Here is a 24,072-nt window from a genome sequence, read left to right on the forward strand (position 1 = left end):
AATTTTTTTTATTACACTAATGACTTATCCTCAGAGGACAATGGATAATAGGTGTTATATAAGCACACAATTTTTTTATTATACTAATGACTTTGCATATATATGTGGTATTAAGTGATAATGTATAACTGGCTTTTATTTACACATTGTGCACAAATAAATTTGTTTCAATTTGAACAAGTGGAAGTGGTTTATTCTGGAATTTTTTTGGATCTCTTTTATTTTTTTAAAGACAGGGTCTCACTCTGTCACCCAGGCTGGAGTGCAGTGGGGTGATCATAGCTTATTGAAACCTTGAATTCCTGGGCTCAACTGATCCTCCTCCTTTAGCCTCCCAAGTAGCTGAGACTACAAGTGCATGCCACCATGCTCAGTTAATATATTTTTATTTTTATTTTTGTAGAGATTGGGTCTCACTGTTGCCCAGGCTGGTCTCCAACTCTTGACTTCATGCAATCCTCCCACCTCACCCTCTTAAAGTGCTGAGATTACAAGCATGAGACACCATGCCCCACTGACCTAGTTTTTAGACATATCTTCACGGTTTCTAATTGGATATTTCACAACAAGAATGTCTTTGTTCATTTTGAACATTCAACAGTTTTATATTTTGTTATTTTAAGGTGTACTCCAGGTGTCCTTTTTAATGTTGCTGTTTGCAGTTATGTCAAGTCATCAAACCATGGCTATCAAGGTGCCATATTGCAGTCCATTCATGACCCATGTTCAAATAGGGTTCCAGTAAGTGCGTCTTCAGCACTGGTATGCTTGGTGCATACCAGGTCCTCCTTTTCAGCAATCATGTTTTGCTTTTTAATATAAATGATAATGATTGTCAGGGGATGCTACAGAAACAACTCAAGAACCTCAATGGTATGTGTGACTGGTCCAAGGTTTAGAGTCAAGTACAGGACTAAATCACCATAGATAACAGACCTTCAGTTTAACCAGAAGAATAAATCTCTATAGAAGTGTCATAAAGGTACAGTGCATATTCAATACAATGTAAAATGGTAAGAAAACTAGCAAACCTAACACAAACCGGCACAGGATTGAGTGCCAAGTAATTGATGATGAGAGTATGGTCCATGTTAGAATGTAAGAAGGTGTTAGAAGTGATCACCTATCCAGGTGATCACTCTGGATAGTGGAGCTGAGAATAGAAGGTGGGTTTCCCTAAACTCTGAAACTGGGGATGTGGCTAGATAAAGAAGATGCGGCAAAGTCGTTACACTGACAGGAGACTATCCACATTATCTCATCGGAAAAGCCTTAATGATTCTCATAGTTAGGGGAGTAGTCATGTAATACATATTCTTGATGCACCAGGATTATTGGTTTTGTGCCTCGCCTTTGGTATTATAAAAATCTTTTATGAGAAATGATGACTTCAAGTGCAAGGAAGAGGATGGAAATACTTGACTCTCACTGGAAAACATGAGAAAGTTCATTCTGCTCTTGTCTTCCCCCATCTGCTCTGCAGGAAAGTAAATGCCCTTGGCACTGCCACAAAGCTTCTTCAAAGGAATTTGTGAAAGGGAGAGAAAAACTTTGCAGATGCCCTAGAGCTTCAGATGGCTTGCAGCCCCTTCTTGACAACACTCCCTGAAGACGGCCATTTATGACCTCCCCTTAAAGAAAAAAAACAGACTTGCTTCACTTCCAGCTTTTAAGCTTACTTGCAGGTATTTCCTGCATATATCTTGCTTAGCAATGACTCCATTTCATTAACAAACTATCCAATAATCCTGTTGTTACCACTCACTTCACAGCTGAAATACCTGGACCACAGAGAAACACCTGCCTAAAATTGCATGGATCAGCAGAAGCAGGAACAACTTTAAAATTCCCAATCCACTCAACAAGAATCTCCCAAGTATAGGGAGAGTGTCAGGATAACCTCCCAGTTCTGTTCTTAGCCCTTGCTTGTTGACTAGCTTTCTTGGCACACTGATGTATGAGAAATATGGCTTCCACTGTGTACATACATACATACAGAATGGTACAGGGAGTAGTCTTTTCCTCCTTGTGATAAACAAAAATAGCCATGCCTACATCAATACAAAATAACTACACACCTTTTTTTTTATCCTTTGGACTTGCCCTTCGAAACGGTCATCTATTAACAGCAATTGGATTATTTTTTTTTTAACGGACTGGCACAGATGGTCTTGTATTTGACTCACTGGAACAGACAGTATTTTCTTCGGTAGGACCAACTGGAAAACGTTGGTTGGTTTTTGAGACACAAGGGACATAACTAGCGTTTTCAGACAAACCTAAGTCAGGTAAGCAAGCCTCTTTTCAAATCCCCAGTTTCAACGCAAGATAAACTTCTCTAAGATTTAAGTCAGTGTAAAATGTATGAGGTACCTCTTCCTTCCAGCGTCCCCCGTGCTTGATGAGGCAAAAGGAAGAAGACAGCGAGTGCTTAGCTGCCTTTTAGAGGATATTCATGAAAATCAGAAGAATGGCATGTGACACCTGTGGGAAAAGTTAAGGAAATTAAGATTCTTACATCGGAAAAAAATAACCCCTGGGGTGAGTTAATCTTCATGTATGTAAAGAGTAAATAGCTGCAAGATGCCATCTGATTTACTATAATAAGGGTAAAACACAAATTACTACATCTGAATTGCTGTCGATATAGCCACATTACGCAATGAGGAAAGTGTAACCGGATGTTAAATTAGGCCTCATCGTATCTTGCTCTCGATTAAGGTGCCAATATATTAACAGATATCATAAAAAATATGAAACAGATCCTTAAATGCAGAGTTACAAAAGGGTTTGTTCCGTAACTCCTGAAGCCTCTCACTTACTTTGAAAATACAAAAGAATGGACATAGAGGAGACAAGAAGCAATAGTAAAAAGATTCTTCTGCAGACGACAGTTGCTATGCCTTGAGTCTGCCCATTCAGAAAGGGGTGGGGTGGAAGAGAGAGCATCCTCTGTCACCTCGAGCCTAGACTGGACCATTTGAAGATCTAGAAATGGGCAGTTGGAGGATACAGAGGACTGGTTCCTGACTCAGCCTGAGAAAGCTGAATCATCCCATGAAAGCAGGATCCAAATGACATTGGGATTCATCTTCACTCTCTAGCAAAGGGTATGTAACCTATCCCCATGGACCAGATAGGAGCTAAAGCGGCTTGCCATTGGGTCCTGTACACCAGGGTGGAATGCGGAGGGGCCCAAGGACCACAATGCTGGAGATGAAATCCATCAGAACTACATCCTGACTTCTGTTTGATTATGCAGATTCAAAGGAAAGGCATTCTGGCTCTAAAAACAAAAACAAAATTGGAAGATATAAGTAAGACTAAGAAAAAAGGAAGGAAATAACTCCCTTGCTTTTAGGTTTGCTCAGAGTGAAGCAAGATGAAGAAAAATCAGTTATAAACTTTAAAGTAAGGTGTCATGCTACTGATATAAAGAGAAATTAAGAGTTTTGAGGCAAAACCAGCTGTCAGACAGGTAGAAAATATGATATAGCTCTTGAGAAAAGAGAATGCTCCTGGAACAGATGGGCGCGCCTCTGAGCTTTATAAAGCATTAACTAGCTGTTTAAATAAGTCCTTAGCAGATGTTTTCAATGGAGGTGAAATGGAAAAAAAAAAAAAAAAAAAAGTCCAAGGCACAAAGGGAATTGATATCACAAATAAGAGAAACTCTTGAATTCAGAGTGCAAGTTATTGTACAAAGTTTTTCTTTAAGACTAGCCACAGTATTTGTAAAACATGGAGCATATTACAAAATCTGCAATTAAAGTAATATATATTGCAATATTAGCCTTTAAAAGAGAGACATACTTAAGGAAAAAGATAGTTTGTGATGATATGTACAGCTCTTCATCTGAGACCAAAAAGGCAAGCAAACATTCATATCCACACTACTATAGGTAATCGTTTTTCTTGTAATCGTACCCAGCTATGAATACATTCACAAGAAAGGAGAAAAATCACAAAAGGATAAAGGAAAAGATTCTTTTGAGTCTGTGTTGAATGTACTGATACTCAATACTGTGTTAAAAATACGTATTTAAAAAATAGAGCTCAGTCCATTGCACAGAAAATAAAGGAGACAGTGGGTTTTTGTGTCAGATGGCTCACATACATACATACTTAATTCAATCAGCAAATGTTTATCAAGTGCCTCAGGGTGCCAGGCAGTGGACTAGGTGACCCAGTAGGGAAGATAAATAATATCCAAACTCTACCATCCATGAGCCTCTCTTACATGCCTGTTGCTCTCACTACTAGTACCTATTGCAAATTGACTTACCCATAAATGCTACTCACACTCACACATTTGGCCACCAAGCTGTAGGAATGGTGGAGGTGCCATTCCAGGTGTGGAGCTAGAGAGATGGAGTAGGAAGTGGATATGGAGCCTCAGACTCCACCCGAGATACAGACTGGAGTGAGGAAATGCGTAAGACCAGCACTCCACTGGATGTAGAGCCATAATCTAACCACGGTTCACATTAATGTCCACACCATGACTGTATGTCATTATTTAGAGTGGGAGGAGAGGAGAAATCAGAAAAGGGGAGGGAAGATAGCATCTGTGCCTATAAAATGTAAGCATATGTATTAAGAAACAACACAGAACAATCCCGGGATGAAAGACATCGAAGAGTAGGGAAAACAGAATGGATGAAACCTATTTTAATTGTCATTTTTTGACAGAATTCACATTGTTTAAGAGGTCATTAAATTAGGCATAGTGGTTTAAAGTCTGGAGTTTTGCCCCTAAGAAACTCAGGATTAAAACTATGGCTTTGCCACCCACTTCATGAGTAACCCCTAAGGTTCATTTTCCCCATCTACAAAATTGAAATAAAGCAGTGCCCACAAAGGGTTGCTGTAAGGGTTAAATTAGATGAAGAACACAAAGTACATTTATCATAGTGTGTGAAAATTATCAAAGGATTGAACAAATGTTTTGTTATTATTAATATTACCGTTATTAAGCCTGCTTACAATGAGGCAACTTTTAAACTTTATTATAAAGACATATCTATTCTTCTGACTTCTCAGGGCATCTTGTTTGCAAAGTACTGCAGAGTTTATCATCAAGGCATTCAACAAATAGTTATTAAGGATCTATTATATTGCAGATACTGTGCTGGGAATATACCAGGGGGCAGGACAGGTCTGATTCCTGCTGTCATAGAGCTCAGAGTTTGGAAAAGAAATTACTCTAGAAATGTTATTGGCAAAGTTCTTGGCATCAGAGAATGTCAAAAGAATCTTTCCAAGATGCACACATGGGTCAAATAACTTTTACAGAACAAGTAAGAAAATCTCCCCTCTAAGAATACTAGAAGGAAGAAAAAAAAATGGACCTGAAAAACTCAGGCCTCAGAGAAAATGGAACATTTATCTGATAAAGGATCTTTGGATTAATTTAATTCTGCAGCCCACAAGCCTTGCTATTCCACACTCAATTTCTCTGATGCTTCCTCTCCTCTTGACCTTCCCTGTCACTATTCTAGTTCCTCATCTCTCACAGGTACTACTGCTAATGACTCCTTACTGTGCCTCTGACACCTGGGCTTAGGCCCCTCTCATCATTCCTTCAACCTTCCCTTCTTTCAAGGCATTTCCAATCATCTCATTCTGTTCAAAACTCTGCAACACCCTCCCATTGCCCACAGGGTACAATTCAACAGCTTTACACAGCAAACAAAGCTGTTCGCAAACCAGATGCTTCTTATGTGTCAGGTCTCACCATTTCTTCTACCAACATTTTTATCCCGTTTTGACTACTTAAGGGTTTCAAAAGTACCATACTGTCTCTCACCTCTCTCTTTTTTCCACATTTCCTCTGCCCAAAATGTCCCAGCCTCCTTTGTAGGGCTCCTCCAGCATTATCTCTGCTCTTTAGACCTTGATTTTAGGAATCCTAATGTTGCATCACATGATTTGTTTGTTTGCTTTTGTGTCCATCTCTCCGCTGGATTGTAAGCTCCTTGAGAGCGAGTTTAGTACCTTTTATTTTGGAATCTCTACATCTGTGATATTGTATAAGCCAAAACAGATACCCAGTGAGCCAGCAGCTATGTTTTACAAAGCTTTTTTCACATTCATTACCTTATTTGATATGCCTAGAAATGGCGCCTTTTAGAAACCAGGTGTAACTGGTAGAGCAGGTTTGAGGCATTTTTACATTGTCAAATGATAAAACCAAAATTAAGAAATATTCAGAAGTGGTAGACTAGGGTTACATAAAGAAAAATAGCAGAAGATTTTCCTCAAACTCTTGCATTATCTTCACATTATCTCTCCTGCTAGACTATGTGACCTCTGAGTATAGGATTAAAAGCAAAAGAAACTGGAAAATAAAGGTAAATCATATAGCAAGAAAGCAGAAGGATTTTCAGATGCAACACAATAAATGAATCTATCTCATCACTCCCTTGTTAGTCACTCCTCAAAAAATTTACTCCCACAAAAGAATTTTCTGAAGTGTCTTCTATCTTCAAACCAAACAAAAAAACTTTCAAAATTTATGACCTATTTATTTTTTTGCTCTTTACAGCCCTCAGCTTCAAATTTCCAAAATGTTATCAAGTATTACATTTAATCTTATAACAAACTTACATCCCAGGTAGGATGTTGCCCATAGGACTCATGCTGGGTGATGCCTGGGTGATCCAAACAGGGAAACAATATTCCTTTAAGCCACATTAGCTCTCAACGGTGTCACTGGTCACGCGTAGAGAGGCAAATTCATGAGCAGCATTGGGGAGTTAATGAACGGCTGGCCAGATGGTGCCTGTCAGAAGGTGTTGACTTTTTAGACAACTGGGACTGTTTCCTGGGAGTAAATGAGAGGTGCAGCAGGGACGGATTGCATCTCAATCACACAGAAACAGACAGATTCACTGCTAATGAAAATAATCACATAGCCAGGCATATTTTTCCTCTTTTGATTTTGTTTGTTTTACCTGGTAGACATAGACGAGGATCTAGCTGAAACTATAACATCATATTAAACGACGCAATGGAGTAAATATGAAAAGCTACCTATAAACTATTAGTATTCTTAATTAGGAAAAATCAAATAGAATAAGGAAAAATAATGCAAATTAGTGGTAAACTAACCTGGAATTAATAAGGGTATTTTGATTGCTATAGCATGAACTACTTGAAAATAAATAAAATTTGAAATACAATAGTGACCTGCAGATGTTATTGAAATATTCAAACTGGTGGAGTCCATTAAGGATATTCTGGCACTTTTGACTTTCCAGCATAATACATCTGAAATGAACCACTTTTACTAATTTGACCATTTTCACTTGCTGCTTTGCTGAACTGCGGAAGTTTTCCTATTACATGCTTAGTGACATCTTTGGCAGGTAAACCTTGATACTCAATGCCCACATTTCAGCAGATATAATAAGTAGAAAACTTCATTGACTTTTTTGTTGCTATCAGAGAATATTACCTAAACATTTGTCTGCCTGTTGTGGTTACTCTTAGGTATTGCATAAAATCAGTTAAATAAATGCCATCACAAAACTATGGATAGCCTGTTTGGTCACAGTAACAGACTCAGCAGATTGGGCAACTCTATTTCTTACCAGCTATGTGACCTCAGGCAAGTTGTTTAGCCTCTCCTTGCCTTGGCGCCCTGGTTAAAGTGAAGATTCTATGAAATGAATGCAAAGAGTTTGACACAGTAGCTAGCATGTAGTCAACTCTCGTAATGCTTCTCTTTCCTGACTACAAAGAGCTCTCAGTCCAGGTCATTCATTCATTTCCTTCTTATGTTTCCATCCTCCTTGATTGCACACACTGGGTTTGTCTTCAACCTTGTGTCCATCCTAAACAGGCTTCTAGAAATTCAGAGCGATGTATTTGAAAATTTGCCTTGTTATCTAATAAGAGGCAGTGACTGTATGGAGCATAATATTAAGACACTTAATATTTTACCATCATTTTTTGCCACTTGAGTCAACCCCCCAGCAGGGGTCAATGTAATGGATTTTTCTAGTACAATTTCCTCTATGCTTTGAGGATTTCCTGGGGGCAGAGATTTCTTACAGACAGCTTAAACAATGCAATCAGTGGAAACAGATGAAGTTCCATATTCCTAGCACTGACCACAATATGTCATTTTTTTCTTTCTTAAAGGTGATTTATTTTTATGTTTGGTTGTGAAACAAGGATCAGATTATACACATATACACATTGCTCAGAACATGAGGTTAAGCGTTTGCTCAGCTTCCATCTCCTTCTGCATTAGATATTGAAGCAACTGTCAAGATGTGGAACAGGATTTTCTTCTTGTTGGGATAATAACGGCATATATTTATTTCCAGTAGACTTAATAAAATATAATGAATAACAAAATGGGAAAGATTTAGACAATTTCTACCTGTGTGTAAATGGAAAAGAAGGCAAAAACACTCAAAAGAGAACGTTAAAAACGTTCAGCACATCATGTTGCAGCATGATTAGCATGGTACAGAACAGAGAGGTGATGCTTCCCTTGGGTACCACATTTAGTTCAGCCAACCTGGAATATAATGTGCAATGACCACCTTTTAGACATTGACTTTAAAAACCATGATAGCTAACTCAGAAAAGTCTCTGGTTTTTAAAACTTACCTTAATTTCAACTCAAGACACTCCATTTGAGACAAATATCCTTGATGTTAAAGCTGAATGACTAGAATTCTACTAAAACTATTATTAAGTTGATTTGAGTAATGCTTTGTGAAGACAACGACCTGTGAACAGAACTATTTATATTAAAAAGCAACAATGTTTCTATGTTTTAGTCTCTTGTCATGCCTCTCTCAATACCATGCTTTTATCTGGTTCACAGCGTCATCAGTGAGAATCACAGCATTAAGACCCAAGTATACTCAGCACTCTTGATTACTTTCACATTGAGAGTAATGCATGTATAATTGCAAATCAGTTGGCCTCCTAACTCTAACCCATTAGGTTTTTCACATATCCATTAGTACAATTTACAGAATTAGAAGTGCTTCACTCACAAACATTTGCAGGCCACCTTTATCCAGTTACTTAAGAAAGTTTACTTGCATATTGCATGTGAGATGGCCACATAAACATGGATAGTATTCCACCTGGAACTGTGAAATATGCATGTCTCAAATAGAATTTGAATTTTAACAAAGACTTTCTTCCCAAGGAACCATGATTTTCACACTGCAAGTTCAAAAGTAGGATTAGCTTAATCTCAATTCTAGTTTCTTATTAGGAAAATAGCTTTTCTCCACTAGACTCAAACATGTTCAGAAGAAAAGAAGACTGAGGATTGAGACGATGCTCTGGATCATTTAGACCAAATCCACTCTATCCTCATATATTTGTACCATATAGCCTTTTTGCCTCAGTTCTATTTTTCTTTTTCTTTGCAGGCACCATTAAAGAAGAATTAAATACTGATAGATAAAAGTTAGCCTCGCTATAAGAATACAGTCAAATTGGCTGGGCACAGTGGCTCATGCCTGTAATCCCGGCACTTTGGGAGGCTGAGGAGGGCCGGATCACCTGAGGTCAGGTATCGAGACCAGCCTGGGCAACATGGTGAAACCCCGTCTCTACTAAAAATACAAAAATTAGCCAGGCGTGGTGGTGGGTGCCTGTAATCCCAGTTACTCGGGAGGCTGAGGCAGGAGAATCGCTTGAACCTGGGAGGCAGAGGCTGCAGTGAGCCAAGATCACACCATTGCACTCCAGCCTAGGCAACAGAGCGAGATTTTGCCACACACACAAAAAAAACTAACAAAAAAAACCACCCAAATTAGCCAAGCCAGAGAAATGCAGTAGTGTATTAATTCACCAGTGCTCATCAAATGAGGCTGAACAGGTTAAAAACTGGAATTTCTGGGCTTCTGCCCCACTACGATAAAACCACTTATGTAAAGGTTTAATTCCTGAGTACAGTGACCTTGAGTAAATTTCCCTGTCCTCCAGGCTTGTCCTCCCCCACAAAATCTTCCCTGACTGCCTAAGAATTCTTAAAATTCCTTTCATGTGAGGCAAATTTTTTCATTTCAAAAATGGCTCTAGAAGAAGCTATACATTTACTTAATTTTACATTAAGGTATGGATATCCTTAGAAGGGGTACCTCCTCTCTTAGTAAAATTCAAAGCCGTTAAAATTTAGCACTGGAAGGAGAATCTACTACTGAGGAAGGTTGGCTTCGTGGGACATCGACTCTTTCCTGTTCCACTGCTTGCCAGTTTTTTGTTTTGTTTGGTTGTGCTTTGTTTTTGTATTGTTTTGTTTTGTCTTTTGAGACAGAGTCTCACTCTGTCTCCCAGGCTGGAGTGCAGTGGTGCAATCTCGGCTCACTGCAACCTCTTCCTCCTGAGTTTGAGCAATTCTCCTGCCTTAGCTTCCCAGGAAGCTGGGATTACAGTCTCCTGTCACCACGCCCAGCTAATTTTTTTGCATTTTTAGTAGAGACAGGGTTTCACCATGTTGGCCAGGCTGGTTTCGAACTCCTGATCTCAAGTGATCCACCCGCTCTGGCCTCCCAAAGTGCTAGGATTACAGGCATGAGCCATCACACCCAGCCTCCTCACCAGTTTTACCCCTTTGGGTTCTCTCCCTGTGGTTACTGTGGCAGCCCCCATGCTAACCCTCAGGAATACCATGCTCTTCCATTAATATTCTGAGTCATGTATGGCTAAAACTTCTTTTCTTAGTGCCTCTAACATAGCAGATGCTGACTGGAACACCCAGGTCTTTATTCTGTATTAAAATACAACGCTGACAGGAGCAGGGGAAATAGAGAAAACAAGAAAAGGAAAGAAAGAAAGGGAAGTCACATGCTATGACTCTGTATCTAGGGGCTTTATATGTCTGGGAGCTATTTCATTTTGTCCCCACATCAATCAGATAGGGAAGGTTTCATTATTCATGCTTTGTAAGTGGTACAAGACTCAGAGATTTAGGAACTTGCCCAGAATCAATCATTGGTAAATGACAGAGCTGGAATCCAAACCCAGGTGTGCATGACCTCACAGAGTAAGGTCACACCTGGCTCACATCAAGGGCTTGCTCACTTGAGGGCACCAAAGGACCCCCACAGCCTCTCCGTTAAGTTGCTTAGGTTCCCCAGTAACTCCCCATAACCAATCTATCTCTGTAGGGAAGCTGCTGACACCTTCCAAAGGGAACCACCTCTCTGACACCTGACTAAGCTCATGGGTCAGATCAAAAGAAACACCCTGCCGCCCACCAGGATTTGTCTCTCTGGGTTTTGGCTGTCCAGCCTCAGACACTCTTTCCAAGGTGACTGATACCCACTCAAATCCAGTAGATCCCTGACCTTTACACACAGACCACCACACAACAGTTCCTTATGACCACACAGGCTTCCATATGCCTTCCACACAGCAGTTACACATAATATAACAACGGAGAATACTTCCCCTACAGACAATAGTAGCCTATTCTTACCTGAGGAGGCTACTAATTGTAGAAAGGAGGAAGAATAAGGTAGAAACAACTGTAAGCAAATGGGCTTAAAGAGAAGAGCAGTTTGGGTGTTAACAAAATCAGTCCCTTTCCCCTTTCTCCGTGAAGATCCTGCTCATTTCTGAGGCTCAGCACAGATTCCTCATCCTCGTGAAGCTTTCTCTGTTGTCTCCATGTAGTCCCAATTTACCCATTCTCTCATCCCATAATGTTTTGTTTATACCCTTTTTATTCCCCTAAAATTATGCTGTCCTATGATATAATTAGTTGTTTATGGTCCTCCACCCCAAGTAAAGTGAAAGCTCCTTGTGAGCAAGGATTGTGCCCAGTCTTACGCAGTTCCCCAGGCATGTGCGAGGTAGTAACAGTAGTAATAACAGTAATGGTAATGGCCACCATTTATTAAGTACTTACCACTGAGTACTCCTATCCATGCAACCCTTGCAATAAGGAACATTACCTGTCTTTTACAGATGTAGACACCAAAGTTTAAAATGACTAAGCAGCTTCCCCAAAGTCACACAACCAGTATATGGCTTCCATCCCACATCTGACTAACTCCCAAAGGATGTGGTTTTTCCCAGTCACCTCCAAATAAGTGTTTACTGAAAGAATAATAGTAAAACTTCACCCGTTTCCCAATTTTCCTCTGCAAATGCCTCCAAGTAAATTAAACAGGCAGAAGAGATTTTCTGTTGTTGTTACTGTCCAATAGGGTCCTGCCGAAGAAATCCAAATTTCATGGGCTTGTACTTCTAAGAGTCATCAGTAGCTCTGACATAAACATGTATGCATATAAAAAATAAATATGTATCTAAAGATACACCATTTTACTTTTATCTCTTCCATTATTTAGGTGGTCCTCTTATACTGGAGATATTCTTTTACCTATTATGAAGCAAGCCGGCTGACTCACTACTGTTCTAATGATAGTCTGTCTCCCTGACAACTCCTATAGATACCCTGGGGATACTCACACCCTGTGGGAAGGTATAAAACAAACCAGAGAATTTTCTGAGATCTATATTAGTATGTATTAAGCAATGTGAACTCAGTATTTTCATTTTTAATAGAATGAAAAATCTATAAGAAAACTAAATAGTCTTCAGATTATTTTCTGTGGGGAAAAAATGATTCATTCCTCGATTAATCAAGCTTCATGGCACTGCGCACAAAATCCGTTTGCCAGAGGTCAGTGCTGTGAATATTAAATGGTTTTTGTGCTAGAATATTTAGATTATCCTAGCTTTTGGATACAAAGACTATTCCTACTCCGCTGAGGCAGAGAAGTGTCTTCTACCTGATGATAGTGTGAATCGGACATGAGCAGACAAGCCATGAGGAATATGAAATTACCATTATTGATGGTGGGGAAGTTAGAAGTAAAGAAAGAAAAATAAAGATAAGGAAGTCACACAAACACACTTAAAGACACATTCTTGGGAGAAGAGAATAGGAAAAGAGATGCTATGGCCACTATGGTACATTGGGCAGCCAGGATCTTCTATAATGACCAAAGCGATAGGCTAACAACAGTATAAATCTCCATTGATGTTATAAGGTTTAAAAAATGTCTTTCACTCATTTGGTTCATCAATGAATCAAATTAATTTTTTTTAACAAATTGACTAGGGTTATTAACTCTGTTGGGCTGTTATTGGGAAAACAAGAAAATAATAAAAGATGGTTTTTTCCCTTGGGGCTCTCATAGTCTCCACTGCACATATATTGAATGCTTGCCCTGGGCCAGGCACTGTTCCCATGTCTGTTGGCCCCACTAGACAAGAAATCTTCAAATGTAGGAAAAGACAACCACGTAAGAAAACCATTATGATGAGGCATAATCAGTGCTAACGGTGGGATGGCCTTGGGATATATTATCAATATATTATTAATATATTGATTGAGATTATCTTGATTAATGACTAAATGCTAACTACATTGCGTGGCAACATGGGCCTGAGACACTCTGCCACTTTTGAAAAACAACAGAGAAAATTAGCCAGGGATGATAGCCAGTGCTGTAGTCACAACTACTCACTCGGGAGGCTGAGGCATGAGAATTGACTGAACCCAGGAGGCGGAGGTTGCAGTGAGCTGAGATCATGCCACTGCACTCCAGCCTGGGTGACAGAGCAAGACTTTGCCAAAAAACACAACAAAACAAAACAAACAAACAAAAAACCAGTATCCTCATAGTAGCATCCCAGTGTCTTTAAGGGAATGGAAATAGAGGTGGCTGGAAACAAGGGCAGAAGCCAAGCATAAAGGATCTCAGATACTTTCATCTGGATTTTGAACTTTATCCCATCAGTAATGGAGAAATACTAAGGAACTAAATGTACACAGAGAAAAATATAACCAACAGCATAAGGGAATAAATATGAAGAACTAATGATTAAGAGCTAGGAAGGTGAATGAACAAAGAAATGAGAAGATTATTTGTGGCAGACATGACAACCATTTCTTACCCTCCTTTCTCTTGCTTGACTCTCACTACAAAGTCAAAAATCAGTATACTGGCTTTCTAGCCTCCTTTAGAATTAAAGTAGGTCATGTGACCAATCATGTTGCCATAGGATCCTGGTTAGGACAATGAGCTTAAGAGAATATTCGCTGGGGCTTTCTGCATACACAAACCCAAAGGAATTGTACTAGTTAACAAAGATTTTCCTTTCTAAATGAGAGTAAAGGCTCACCAAGCAAGATTCCTCTCATCCCCTGCCACTCCCTATTTAATGCCTTTGTAAAAACTGTAATTTGGTGAATCCCAATACTGTAATGGCCAATTTAGGATCATGATCGGGAGGTTCAGGGTACTGTTTCCTAAACTGATATCAATCTCTTCAAATAAATCATTCCTGCCTGAAGTGTCTCCTCTAGTGAACAGACTGTCAGTAACCACCCAATTATCACAACTTCTTTTCTAAAGTAAGTAAACAAAACTTCATTTTGCAGCATCATCAGGTTCAACAGAGTCAGAAAAATAAAAATAAACGGCAGATAAGTGAAGAATAAAGTGAAGTCCCATATGGGTTTTTGTTCAGATGGCCATGCAATGTAATTTAATAGAATGAGCACTAGACAGAAAGCCAGATTCTGCTACTTGCTTTGTTTTTCATTAGATTATCAGGTTAGATGAACTACAAAACGAGGAAGCCAACTGGAAATCAGGACCTGAAACAGGATTCATCCCCTGGGCTTGAAATCATGCTGGATACAAAGACGGCCATGAATAATGGCCCAGGAAAAGCCCAGGTGAACTACTGTGTTCTTTCTGCTGCTGTGTTTTATTCCTGCCTTTCTTTATGTTGGTGTTCTACTTCAAGATCACAGAGAAACTGGAACCTACCTCTTTACAACTTACAGTAGGAGGAATTATTAGTAGAATAGAAACTTGGGTCCTGGAAGCTATCTAGGAATGTATTGCCATAACTGAGTTCCAGATCAGAGTGAGATCAATAGCCTTTAGAGTTGTTATATATAAATCAATGCAGTCCTTCCTTTCTAAAGTGGGACTGATCTTGAAGACAGGGAGGCTGTTTGGCCACTCCTGGGGACACGTAGTGAAGCTATATGGGAAGGATGGATTCCCACCAGGAAAAGAGAAAAGATCTGATAGGCTTCTTTCTATCTGGCTGAAATGAAGGCCTAGAATCTCCAAGTTTACTCACTTCTGATTTTCCTGTGACTATTCTAAGAACCAATTCAGAGATTTGCTAAAAAGTAGAGCTACATATAGATTTTCTGTACTTTAATTTTAATGAGGGATGCTGAGAAGTAGGCTTAATCCCCCCAAAATTCATTGCAATGTGTATACAAGAACCTCTGGGACATACGGGTATACCTTACTTTATTGTGCTTCACAGATATCGGGAGTTTTGTTGTTATTGTTTTGGTGTTTTTTTTAGAGACAGGGTCTCACTCAGACGTCCAGGCTGGAGTGTAGTGGTGTGATCACAGCTCAGTGCAGCCCCAAACTCCGGGGCTCAAGCAATCCTCACACCTCAGCCTCCAGAGTAGGTGAAACTACAGGTACAAGCCACCGCACCCAGCAGATATTGTATTTTCTTTTTACAAACTGAAGGTTTGTGGCAACCCCACTTTGAGCAAGCCTCTTGGCATTTTTCCAACAGCATGTGCTCAGTTTGTGTCTTTGTGTCACATTTTGGTAATTCTTACAATATTTCAAACTTTCACATTATTGTAATATCTGTTATGGTGATCTGTGATCAGTGATCTTTGATGTTACTACTGTAATTTTGGGGAGTGGCACAAATTGCATCCATATAAAATGGCAAATTTAATACACAAATGTTGTGTGGTTTTGTGTGTTCTGAATGCTCCACCAACCAGCCATTTGGCCATGTCTCTCCTTCCCTTGGGCCTCCCTATTTCCTGAGACACAACAATATTAAAATTAGGCAATTAAAAACCCTGCAATGGCCTCTAAGTGATTAAGTAAGAGTTGCACATCTTTCACTTTAAATCAAAAACTAGAAATGATTAGGCATAGTGAGGAAGGCATATATAAAGCCAAGATGGGCTAAAAGCTAGGCCTTTAGTACCAAACAATTAACCAAGTTGTGAATGCAAAGGAAAAGTAATTCAAAAATAATATTAAAAAGTGCTACTCCAGTGAACACACAAATGATAAGAACACAGAACAGTTTTATGGCTACTATGTAGAAAGTTTAAGTGGTCTGGATAGAAGATCAAACCAACCACAACACTCACAACATTCCCATAAGTCAAAGCTTAATTCAGAGCAAGACTCTAACTCTCATTAATTCTATGAAGGCTGAGAGAGATGAGGAAGTTGCACAAGAAAAGCCTGAAGCTAGCAGAGGTTGGTTCATGACGTTTAAGGAAAGAAGCCATCTGAGGTTGGTTCATGACGTTTAAGGAAAGAAGCCATCTCTAGAACATCAAAGGATAAGGTGAAGCAGCAAGTGCTGATATAGAATCTGCAGCAAGTTATCCAGAAGATCTAGCTAAGATCATTGATGAAGGTGGCTACACTGAACAGCCGATTTTCATTGTACATGAAACAGCCCTATATTGGAAGAGGATGCCATGTAGGACATTCATAGCTAGATAGAAGAAGTCAGTACCTGGTTTCAAAGCTTCAAAGGACAGGTTGACTCTCTGTTAGGGACTAATGCAGCTGGTGTCATTAAGTTGAAACTAGTGCTCATTTACCATTCCAAAAATCCTAGGGCCCTTAAGAATTATGCTAAATCTACTCTACTTCTGCTTCATAAATAAAACAACAAAACCTGGATGACAGCACATCTGTTTACAACATGGTTTATTGAATTTTTAATTTTTAATTTATTTATTTTTTAAGTTATTTTATTTAATTATTTTATTTAATTTTTAATTTTTTATTTGTATTTTTATTTTTATTTTTTTGAGACAGAGTCTCACTCTGTCGCCCAGGATGGAGTGCAGTGACGCAATCTCGACTCACTGCAAGCTCCGCCTCCTGGGTTCATGCCATTCTCCTGCCTCAGCCTCCCGAGTAGCTGGGACTACAGGCGCCCGCCACCACACCTGGCTAATTTTTTGTATTTTTAGTAGAGATGGGGTTTCACTGTGTTAGCCAGGATGGTCTCGATCTCCTGACCTCGTGATCTGCCCACTTCAGCCTCCCAAAGTGCTGGGAGGTTTACTGAATATTTTAAGCCCACTGTTGAGATCTTTCATTTGGGAAAAAAAAAGCCTTTCAAATATTACTACTCACTGACAATGCACCTGGTTACCCAAGAGCTCTGAGGGAGATGCACAGGAGATGAACATTGTTTCCATGCCTGCTAATACAGCATTCATCCTGTAGCCCATGTATCAAGGCGTCATTTCGACTTTCAAATCTTATTATGTAAGAAATACATCTTGTAAAGCCATAGACAGTGATTCCCCTGATGGATCTAGGCAAACTACATGGAAAACCTTCTGGAAAGGGATCACCATTCTAGATGCCATTAAGAACAACCATGGCCGGGCACAGTGGCTCACCCCTGTAATCCCAGCACTTTGGGAGGCTGTGGTGGAGGATAACTTGAGCCCAGGAGTTGAGACTAAAACCAGCCTGAGCAACATGGCAAAACCCTGTCTCCAGGAGAAAAAAAAACTAACTGGAGCCAAGATGGCCGAATAGGAACAGCTCCGGTCTACAGCTCCCAGCGTGAGCGACGCAGAAGACGGGTGATTTCTGCATTTCCATCTGAGGTACCGGGTTCATCTCAATAGGGAGTGCCAGACAGTGGGCGCAGGTCAGTGTGTGTGCGCACCGTGCGCAAGCCGAAGCAGGGCGAGGCATTGCCTCACCTGGGAAGCGCAAGGGGTCAGGGAGTTCCCTTTCCGAGTCAAAGAAAGGGGTGACGGACGTACCTGGAAAATCGGGTCACTCCCACCCGAATATTGCGCTTTTCAGACCGGCTTAAGAAACGGCGCACCACGAGACTATATCCCACACCTGGCTCAGAGGGTCCTACGCCCACGGAATCTCGCTGATTGCTAGCACAGCAGTCTGAGATCAAACTGCAAGGCGGCAACGAGGCTGGGGGAGGGGCGCCCGCCATTGCCCAGGCTTGCTTAGGTAAACAAAGCAGCCGGGAAGCTCGAACTGGGTGGAGCCCACCACAGCTCAAGGAGGCCTGCCTGCCTCTGTAGGCTCCACCTCTGGGGGCAGGGCACAGACAAACAAAAAGACAGCAGTAACCTCTGCAGACTTAAGTGTCCCTGTCTGACAGCTTTGAAGAGAGCAGTGGTTCTCCCAGCACGCAGCTGGAGATCTGAGAACGGGCAGACTGCCTCCTCAAGTGGGTCCCTGACCCCTGACCCCCGAGCAGCCTAACTGGGAGGCACCCCCCAGCAGGGGCACACTGACACCTCACACGGCAGGGTATTCCAACAGACCTGCAGCTGAGGGTCCTGTCTGTTAGAAGGAAAACTAACAACCAGAAAGGACATCTACACCGAAAACCCATCTGTACATCACCATCATCAAAGACCAAAAGTAGATAAAACCACAAAGATGGGGAAAAAACAGAACAGAAAAACTGGAAACTCTAAAACGCAGAGCACCTCTCCTCCTCCAAAGGAACGCAGTTCCTCACTAGCAACAGAACAAAGCTGGATGGAGAATGATTTTGACGAGCTGAGAGAAGAAGGCTTCAGACGATCAAATTACTCTGAGCTACGGGAGGACATTCAAACCAAAGGCAAAGAAGTTGAAAACTTTGAAAAAAATTTAGAAGAATGTATAACTAGAATAACCAATACAGAGAAGTGCTTAAAGGAGCTGATGGAGCTGAAAACCAAGGCTCGAGAACTACGTGAAGAATGCAGAAGCCTCAGGAGCCGATGCGATCAACTGGAAGAAAGGGTATCAGCAATGGAAGATGAAATGAATGAAATGAAGCGAGAAGGGAAGTTTAGAGAAAAAAGAATAAAAAGAAATGAGCAAAGCCTCCAAGAAATATAGGACTATGTGAAAAGACCAAATCTACGTCTGATTGGTGTACCTGAAAGTGATGTGGAGAATGGAACCAAGTTGGAAAACACTCTGCAGGATATTATCCAGGAGAACTTCCCCAATCTAGCAAGGCAGGCCAACGTTCAGATTCAGGAAATACAGAGAACGCCACAAAGATACTCCTCGAGAAGAGCAACTCCAAGACACATAATTGTCAGATTCACCAAAGTTGAAATGAAGGAAAAAATGTTAAGGGCAGCCAGAGAGAAAGGTCGGGTTACCCTCAAAGGAAAGCCCATCAGACTAACAGCGGATCTCTCGGCAGAAACCCTACAAGCCAGAAGAGAGTGGGGGCCAATATTCAACATTCTTAAAGAAAAGAATTTTCAACCCAGAATTTCATATCCAGCCAAACTAAGCTTCATAAGTGAAGGAGAAATAAAATACTTTATAGACAAGCAAATGCTGAGAGATTTTGTCACCACCAGGCCTGCCCTAAAAGAGCTCCTGAAGGAAGCACTAAACATGGAAAGGAACAACTGGTACCAGCCGCTGCAAAATCATGCCAAAATGTAAAGACCATCGAGACTAGGAAGAAACTGCATCAACTAATGAGCAAAATCACCAGCTAACATCATAATGACAGGATCAAATTCACACATAACAATATTAACTTTAAATATAAATGGACTAAATTCTGCAATTAAAAGACACAGACTGGCAAGTTGGATAAAGAGTCAAGACCCATCAGTGTGCTGTATTCAGGAAACCCATCTCACGTGCAGAGACACACATAGGCTCAAAATAAAAGGATGGAGGAAGATCTACCAAGCAAATGGAAAACAAAAAAAGGCAGGGGTTGCAATCCTAGTCTCTGATAAAACAGACTTCAAACCAACAAAGATCAAAAGAGACAAAGAAGGCCATTACATAATGGTAAAGGGATCAATTCAACAAGAGGAGCTAACTATCCTAAATATTTATGCACCCAATACAGGAGCACCCAGATTCATAAAGCAAGTCCTGAGTGACCTACAAAGAGACTTAGACTCCCACACATTAATAATGGGAGACTTTAACACCCCACTGTCAACATTAGACAGATCAACGAGACAGAAAGTCAACAAGGATACCCAGGAATTGAACTCAGCTCTGCACCAAGCAGACCTAATAGACATCTACAGAACTCTCCACCCCAAATCAACAGAATATACATTTTTTTCAGCACCACACCACACCTATTCCAAAATTGACCACATAGTTGGAAGTAAAGCTCTCCTCAGCAAATGTAAAAGAACAGAAATTATAACAAACTATCTCTCAGACCACAGTGCAATCAAACTAGAACTCAGGATTAAGAATCTCACTCAAAGCCGCTCAACTACATGGAAACTGAACAACCTGCTCCTGAATGACTACTGGGTACATAACGAAATGAAGGCAGAAATAAAGATGTTCTTTGAAACCAACGAGAACAAAGACACCACATACCAGAATCTCTGGGACGCATTCAAAGCAGTGTGTAGAGGGAAATTTATAGCACTAAATGCCTACAAGAGAAAGCAGGAAAGATCCAAAATTGACACCCTAACATCACAATTAAAAGAACTAGAAAAGCAAGAGCAAACACATTCAAAAGCTAGCAGAAGGCAAGAAATAACTAAAATCAGAGCAGAACTGAAGGAAATAGAGACACAAAAAACCCTTCAAAAAATCAATGAATCCAGGAGCTGGTTTTTTGAAAGGATCAACAAAATTGATAGACCGCTAGCAAGACTAATAAAGAAAAAAAGAGAGAAGAATCAAATAGACACAATAAAAAATGATAAAGGGGATATCACCACCGATCCCACAGAAATACAAACTACCATCAGAGAATACTACAAACACCTCTACGCAAATAAACTAGAAAATCTAGAAGAAATGGATACATTCCTCAACACATACACTCTCCCAAGACTAAACCAGGAAGAAGCTGAATCTCTGACTAGACCAATAACAGGCTCTGAAATTGTGGCAATAATCAATAGTTTACCAACCAAAAAGAGTCCAGGACCAGATGGATTCACAGCCGAATTCTACCAGAGGTACAAGGAGGAACTGGTACCATTCCTTCTGAAACTATTCCAATCAATAGAAAAAGAGGGAATCCTCCCTAACTCATTTTATGAGGCCAGCATCATTCTGATACCAAAGCCGGGCAGAGACACAACCAAAAAAGAGAATTTTAGACCAATATCCTTGATGAACATTGATGCAAAAATCCTCAATAAAATACTGGCAAACCGAATCCAGCAGCACATCAAAAAGCTTATCCACCATGATCAAGTGGGCTTCATCCCTGGGATGCAAGGCTGGTTCAATATACGCAAATCAATAAATGTAATCCAGCATATAAACAGAGCCAAAGACAAAAACCACATGATTATCTCAATAGATGCAGAAAAAGCCTTTGACAAAATTCAACAACCCTTCATGCTAAAAACTCTCAATAAATTAGGTATTGATGGGACGTATTTCAAAATAATAAGAGCTATCTATGACAAACCCACAGCCAATATCATACTGAATGGGCAAAAACTGGAAGCATTCCCTTTGAAAACTGGCACAAGACAGGGATGCCCTCTCTCACCGCTCCTATTCAACATAGTGTTGGAAGTTCTGGCCAGGGCAATCAGGCAGGAGAAGGAAATAAAGGGTATTCAATTAGGAAAAGAGGAAGTCAAATTGTCCCTGTTTGCAGACGACATGATTGTTTATCTAGAAAACCCCATCATCTCAGCCCAAAATCTCCTTAAGCTGATAAGCAACTTCAGCAAAGTCTCAGGATACAAAATCAATGTACAAAAATCACAAGCATTCTTATACACCAACAACAGACAAACAGAGAGCCAAATCATGGGTGAACTCCCATTCACAATTGCTTCAAAGAGAATAAAATACTTAGGAATCCAACTTACAAGGGATGTGAAGGACCTCTTCAAGGAGAACTACAAACCACTGCTCAAGGAAATAAAAGAGGACACAAACAAATGGAAGAACATTCCATGCTCATGGGTAGGAAGAATCAATATCGTGAAAATGGCCATACTGCCCAAGGTAATTTACAGATTCAATGCCATCCCCATCAAGCTACCAATGACTTTCTTCACAGAATTGGAAAAAACTACTTTAAAGTTCATATGGAACCAAAAAAGAGCCCGCATTGCCAAGTCAATCCTAAACCAAAAGAACAAAGCTGGAGGCATCACACTACCTGACTTCAAACTATACTACAAGGCTACAGTAACCAAAACAGCATGGTACTGGTACCAAAACAGAGATATAGATCAATGGAACAGAACAGAGCCCTCAGAAATAATGCCGCATATCTACAACTATCTGATCTTTGACAAACCTGAGAAAAACAAGCAATGGGGAAAGGATTCCCTATTTAATAAATGGTGCTGGGAAAACTGGCTAGCCATATGTAGAAAGCTGAAACTGGATCCCTTCCTTACACCTTATACAAAAATCAATTCAAGATGGATTAAAGATTTAAACGTTAGACCTAAAACCATAAAAACCCTAGAAGAAAACCTAGGCATTACCATTCAGGACATAGGCGTGGGCAAGGACTTCATGTCCAAAACACCAAAAGCAATGGCAACAAAAACCAAAATTGACAAATGGGATCTAATTAAACTAAAGAGCTTCTGCACAGCAAAAGAAACTACCATCAGAGTGAACAGGCAACCTACAACATGGGAGAAAATTTTTGCAACCTACTCATCTGACAAAGGGCTAATATCCAGAATCTACAATGAACTCAAACAAATTTACAAGAAAAAAACAAACAACCCCATCAAAAAGTGGGCGAAGGACATGAACAGACACTTCTCAAAAGAAGACATTTATGCAGCCAAAAAACACATGAAAAAATGCTCATCATCACTGGCCATCAGAGAAATGCAAATCAAAACCACTATGAGATATCATCTCACACCAGTTAGAATGGCAATCATTAAAAAGTCAGGAAACAACAGGTGCTGGAGAGGATGTGGAGAAATAGGAACACTTTTACACTGTTGGTGGGACTGTAAACTAGTTCAACCATTGTGGAAGTCAGTGTGGCGATTCCTCAGGGATCTAGAACTAGAAATACCATTTGACCCAGCCATCCCATTACTGGGTATATACCCAAAGGACTATAAATCATGCTGCTATAAAGACACATGCACACGTATGTTTATTGCGGCACTATTCACAATAGCAAAGACTTGGAACCAACCCAAATGTCCAACAATGATAGTCTGGATTAAGAAAATGTGGCACATATACACCATGGAATACTATGCAGCCATAAAAAATGATGAGTTCATATCCTTTGTAGGGACATGGATGAAATTGGAAACCATCATTCTCAGTAAACTATCGCAAGAACAAAAAACCAAACACCGCATATTCTCACTCATAGGTGGGAATTGAACAATGAGATCACATGGACACAGGAAGGGGAATATCACACTCTGGGGACTGTGGTGGGGTCGGGGGAGGGGGGAGGGATAGCATTGGGAGATATACCTAATGCTAGATGACACATTAGTGGGTGCAGCGCACCAGCATGGCACATGTATACATATGTAACTAACCTGCACAATGTGCACATGTACCCTAAAACTGAGAGTATAATAAAAAAAAAAAAAAATAAAAAAAAAATAAAAAAAAAAAAAAAAAAAAAAGAAAAAAAAACTAACTGGGTATGGTGGCATGTGCCTGTAGTCCCAGTGACTTGGAAGGCTGAGGTGGGAGGATCGACTGAGCCCGGGATTTCAAGGCTGGCTGCAGTGAGCCATAATCATGCAACTGCATTCCAACCTGGGCAACAGAGTGAGACCCTGTCTCTAAAAAAAAAAAAAAAAAAAAAAAAAAAAGAATCATGATTAATGGAAGGAAGTCAAATATCACCATTAACAGGAGTTTGGAAGAAGTTGATTCCAAACCTAATGGGTGACTTTGAGGGGTTCTAGGCTTCAGGGGAGGAAAGAATCACAGATGTGGTAAAAATAACAAGAGAACTAGAGTTAGAAGTGGAGTCTGGGCTGGGCGCGGTAGCTCACGCCTGTAATCCCAG

General features: G+C 40.2%; 1 long non-coding RNA gene across 1 annotated transcript in view, besides 3 other annotated features; it reads right to left on the reverse strand.

Moving 5' to 3' along the window:
- LNC-LBCS (lncRNA bladder and prostate cancer suppressor, hnRNPK interacting) overlaps positions 1–24,072 on the reverse strand; it is a 75,339-nt gene that overhangs the window by 17,854 nt on the left and 33,413 nt on the right. The window contains exon 3 of the long non-coding RNA NR_134651.1: positions 2,374–2,484. This is a non-coding gene — a long non-coding RNA (lncRNA bladder and prostate cancer suppressor, hnRNPK interacting). The remainder of the gene's footprint in view (positions 1–2,373; positions 2,485–24,072) is intronic.
- Positions 2,078–3,277: an enhancer, noted in NCBI's record as "CDK7 strongly-dependent group 2 enhancer chr6:19749583-19750782 (GRCh37/hg19 assembly coordinates)". NCBI's record gives its function as "activates an origin of replication core promoter dependent on BRD2, BRD4, P300/CBP, MED14 and CDK7 cofactors, with strong dependence on CDK7, by STARR-seq in HCT116 cells {active_cell/tissue: HCT116}" and the evidence as "EXISTENCE:reporter gene assay evidence [ECO:0000049][PMID:35650434]".
- Positions 17,256–17,868: an enhancer, noted in NCBI's record as "H3K27ac-H3K4me1 hESC enhancer chr6:19764761-19765373 (GRCh37/hg19 assembly coordinates)". NCBI's record gives its function as "activates a minimal SCP1, AML or CMV promoter by ChIP-STARR-seq in naive H9 embryonic stem cells {active_cell/tissue: H9 hESC(naive)}" and the evidence as "EXISTENCE:reporter gene assay evidence [ECO:0000049][PMID:30033119]".
- Positions 17,869–18,480: an enhancer, noted in NCBI's record as "NANOG-H3K27ac-H3K4me1 hESC enhancer chr6:19765374-19765985 (GRCh37/hg19 assembly coordinates)". NCBI's record gives its function as "activates a minimal SCP1, AML or CMV promoter by ChIP-STARR-seq in naive H9 embryonic stem cells {active_cell/tissue: H9 hESC(naive)}" and the evidence as "EXISTENCE:reporter gene assay evidence [ECO:0000049][PMID:30033119]".

This window comes from Homo sapiens, chromosome 6 (assembly GCF_000001405.40).
Source record: "Homo sapiens chromosome 6, GRCh38.p14 Primary Assembly".
Taxonomy (NCBI): Eukaryota; Metazoa; Chordata; class Mammalia; order Primates; family Hominidae; genus Homo; species Homo sapiens.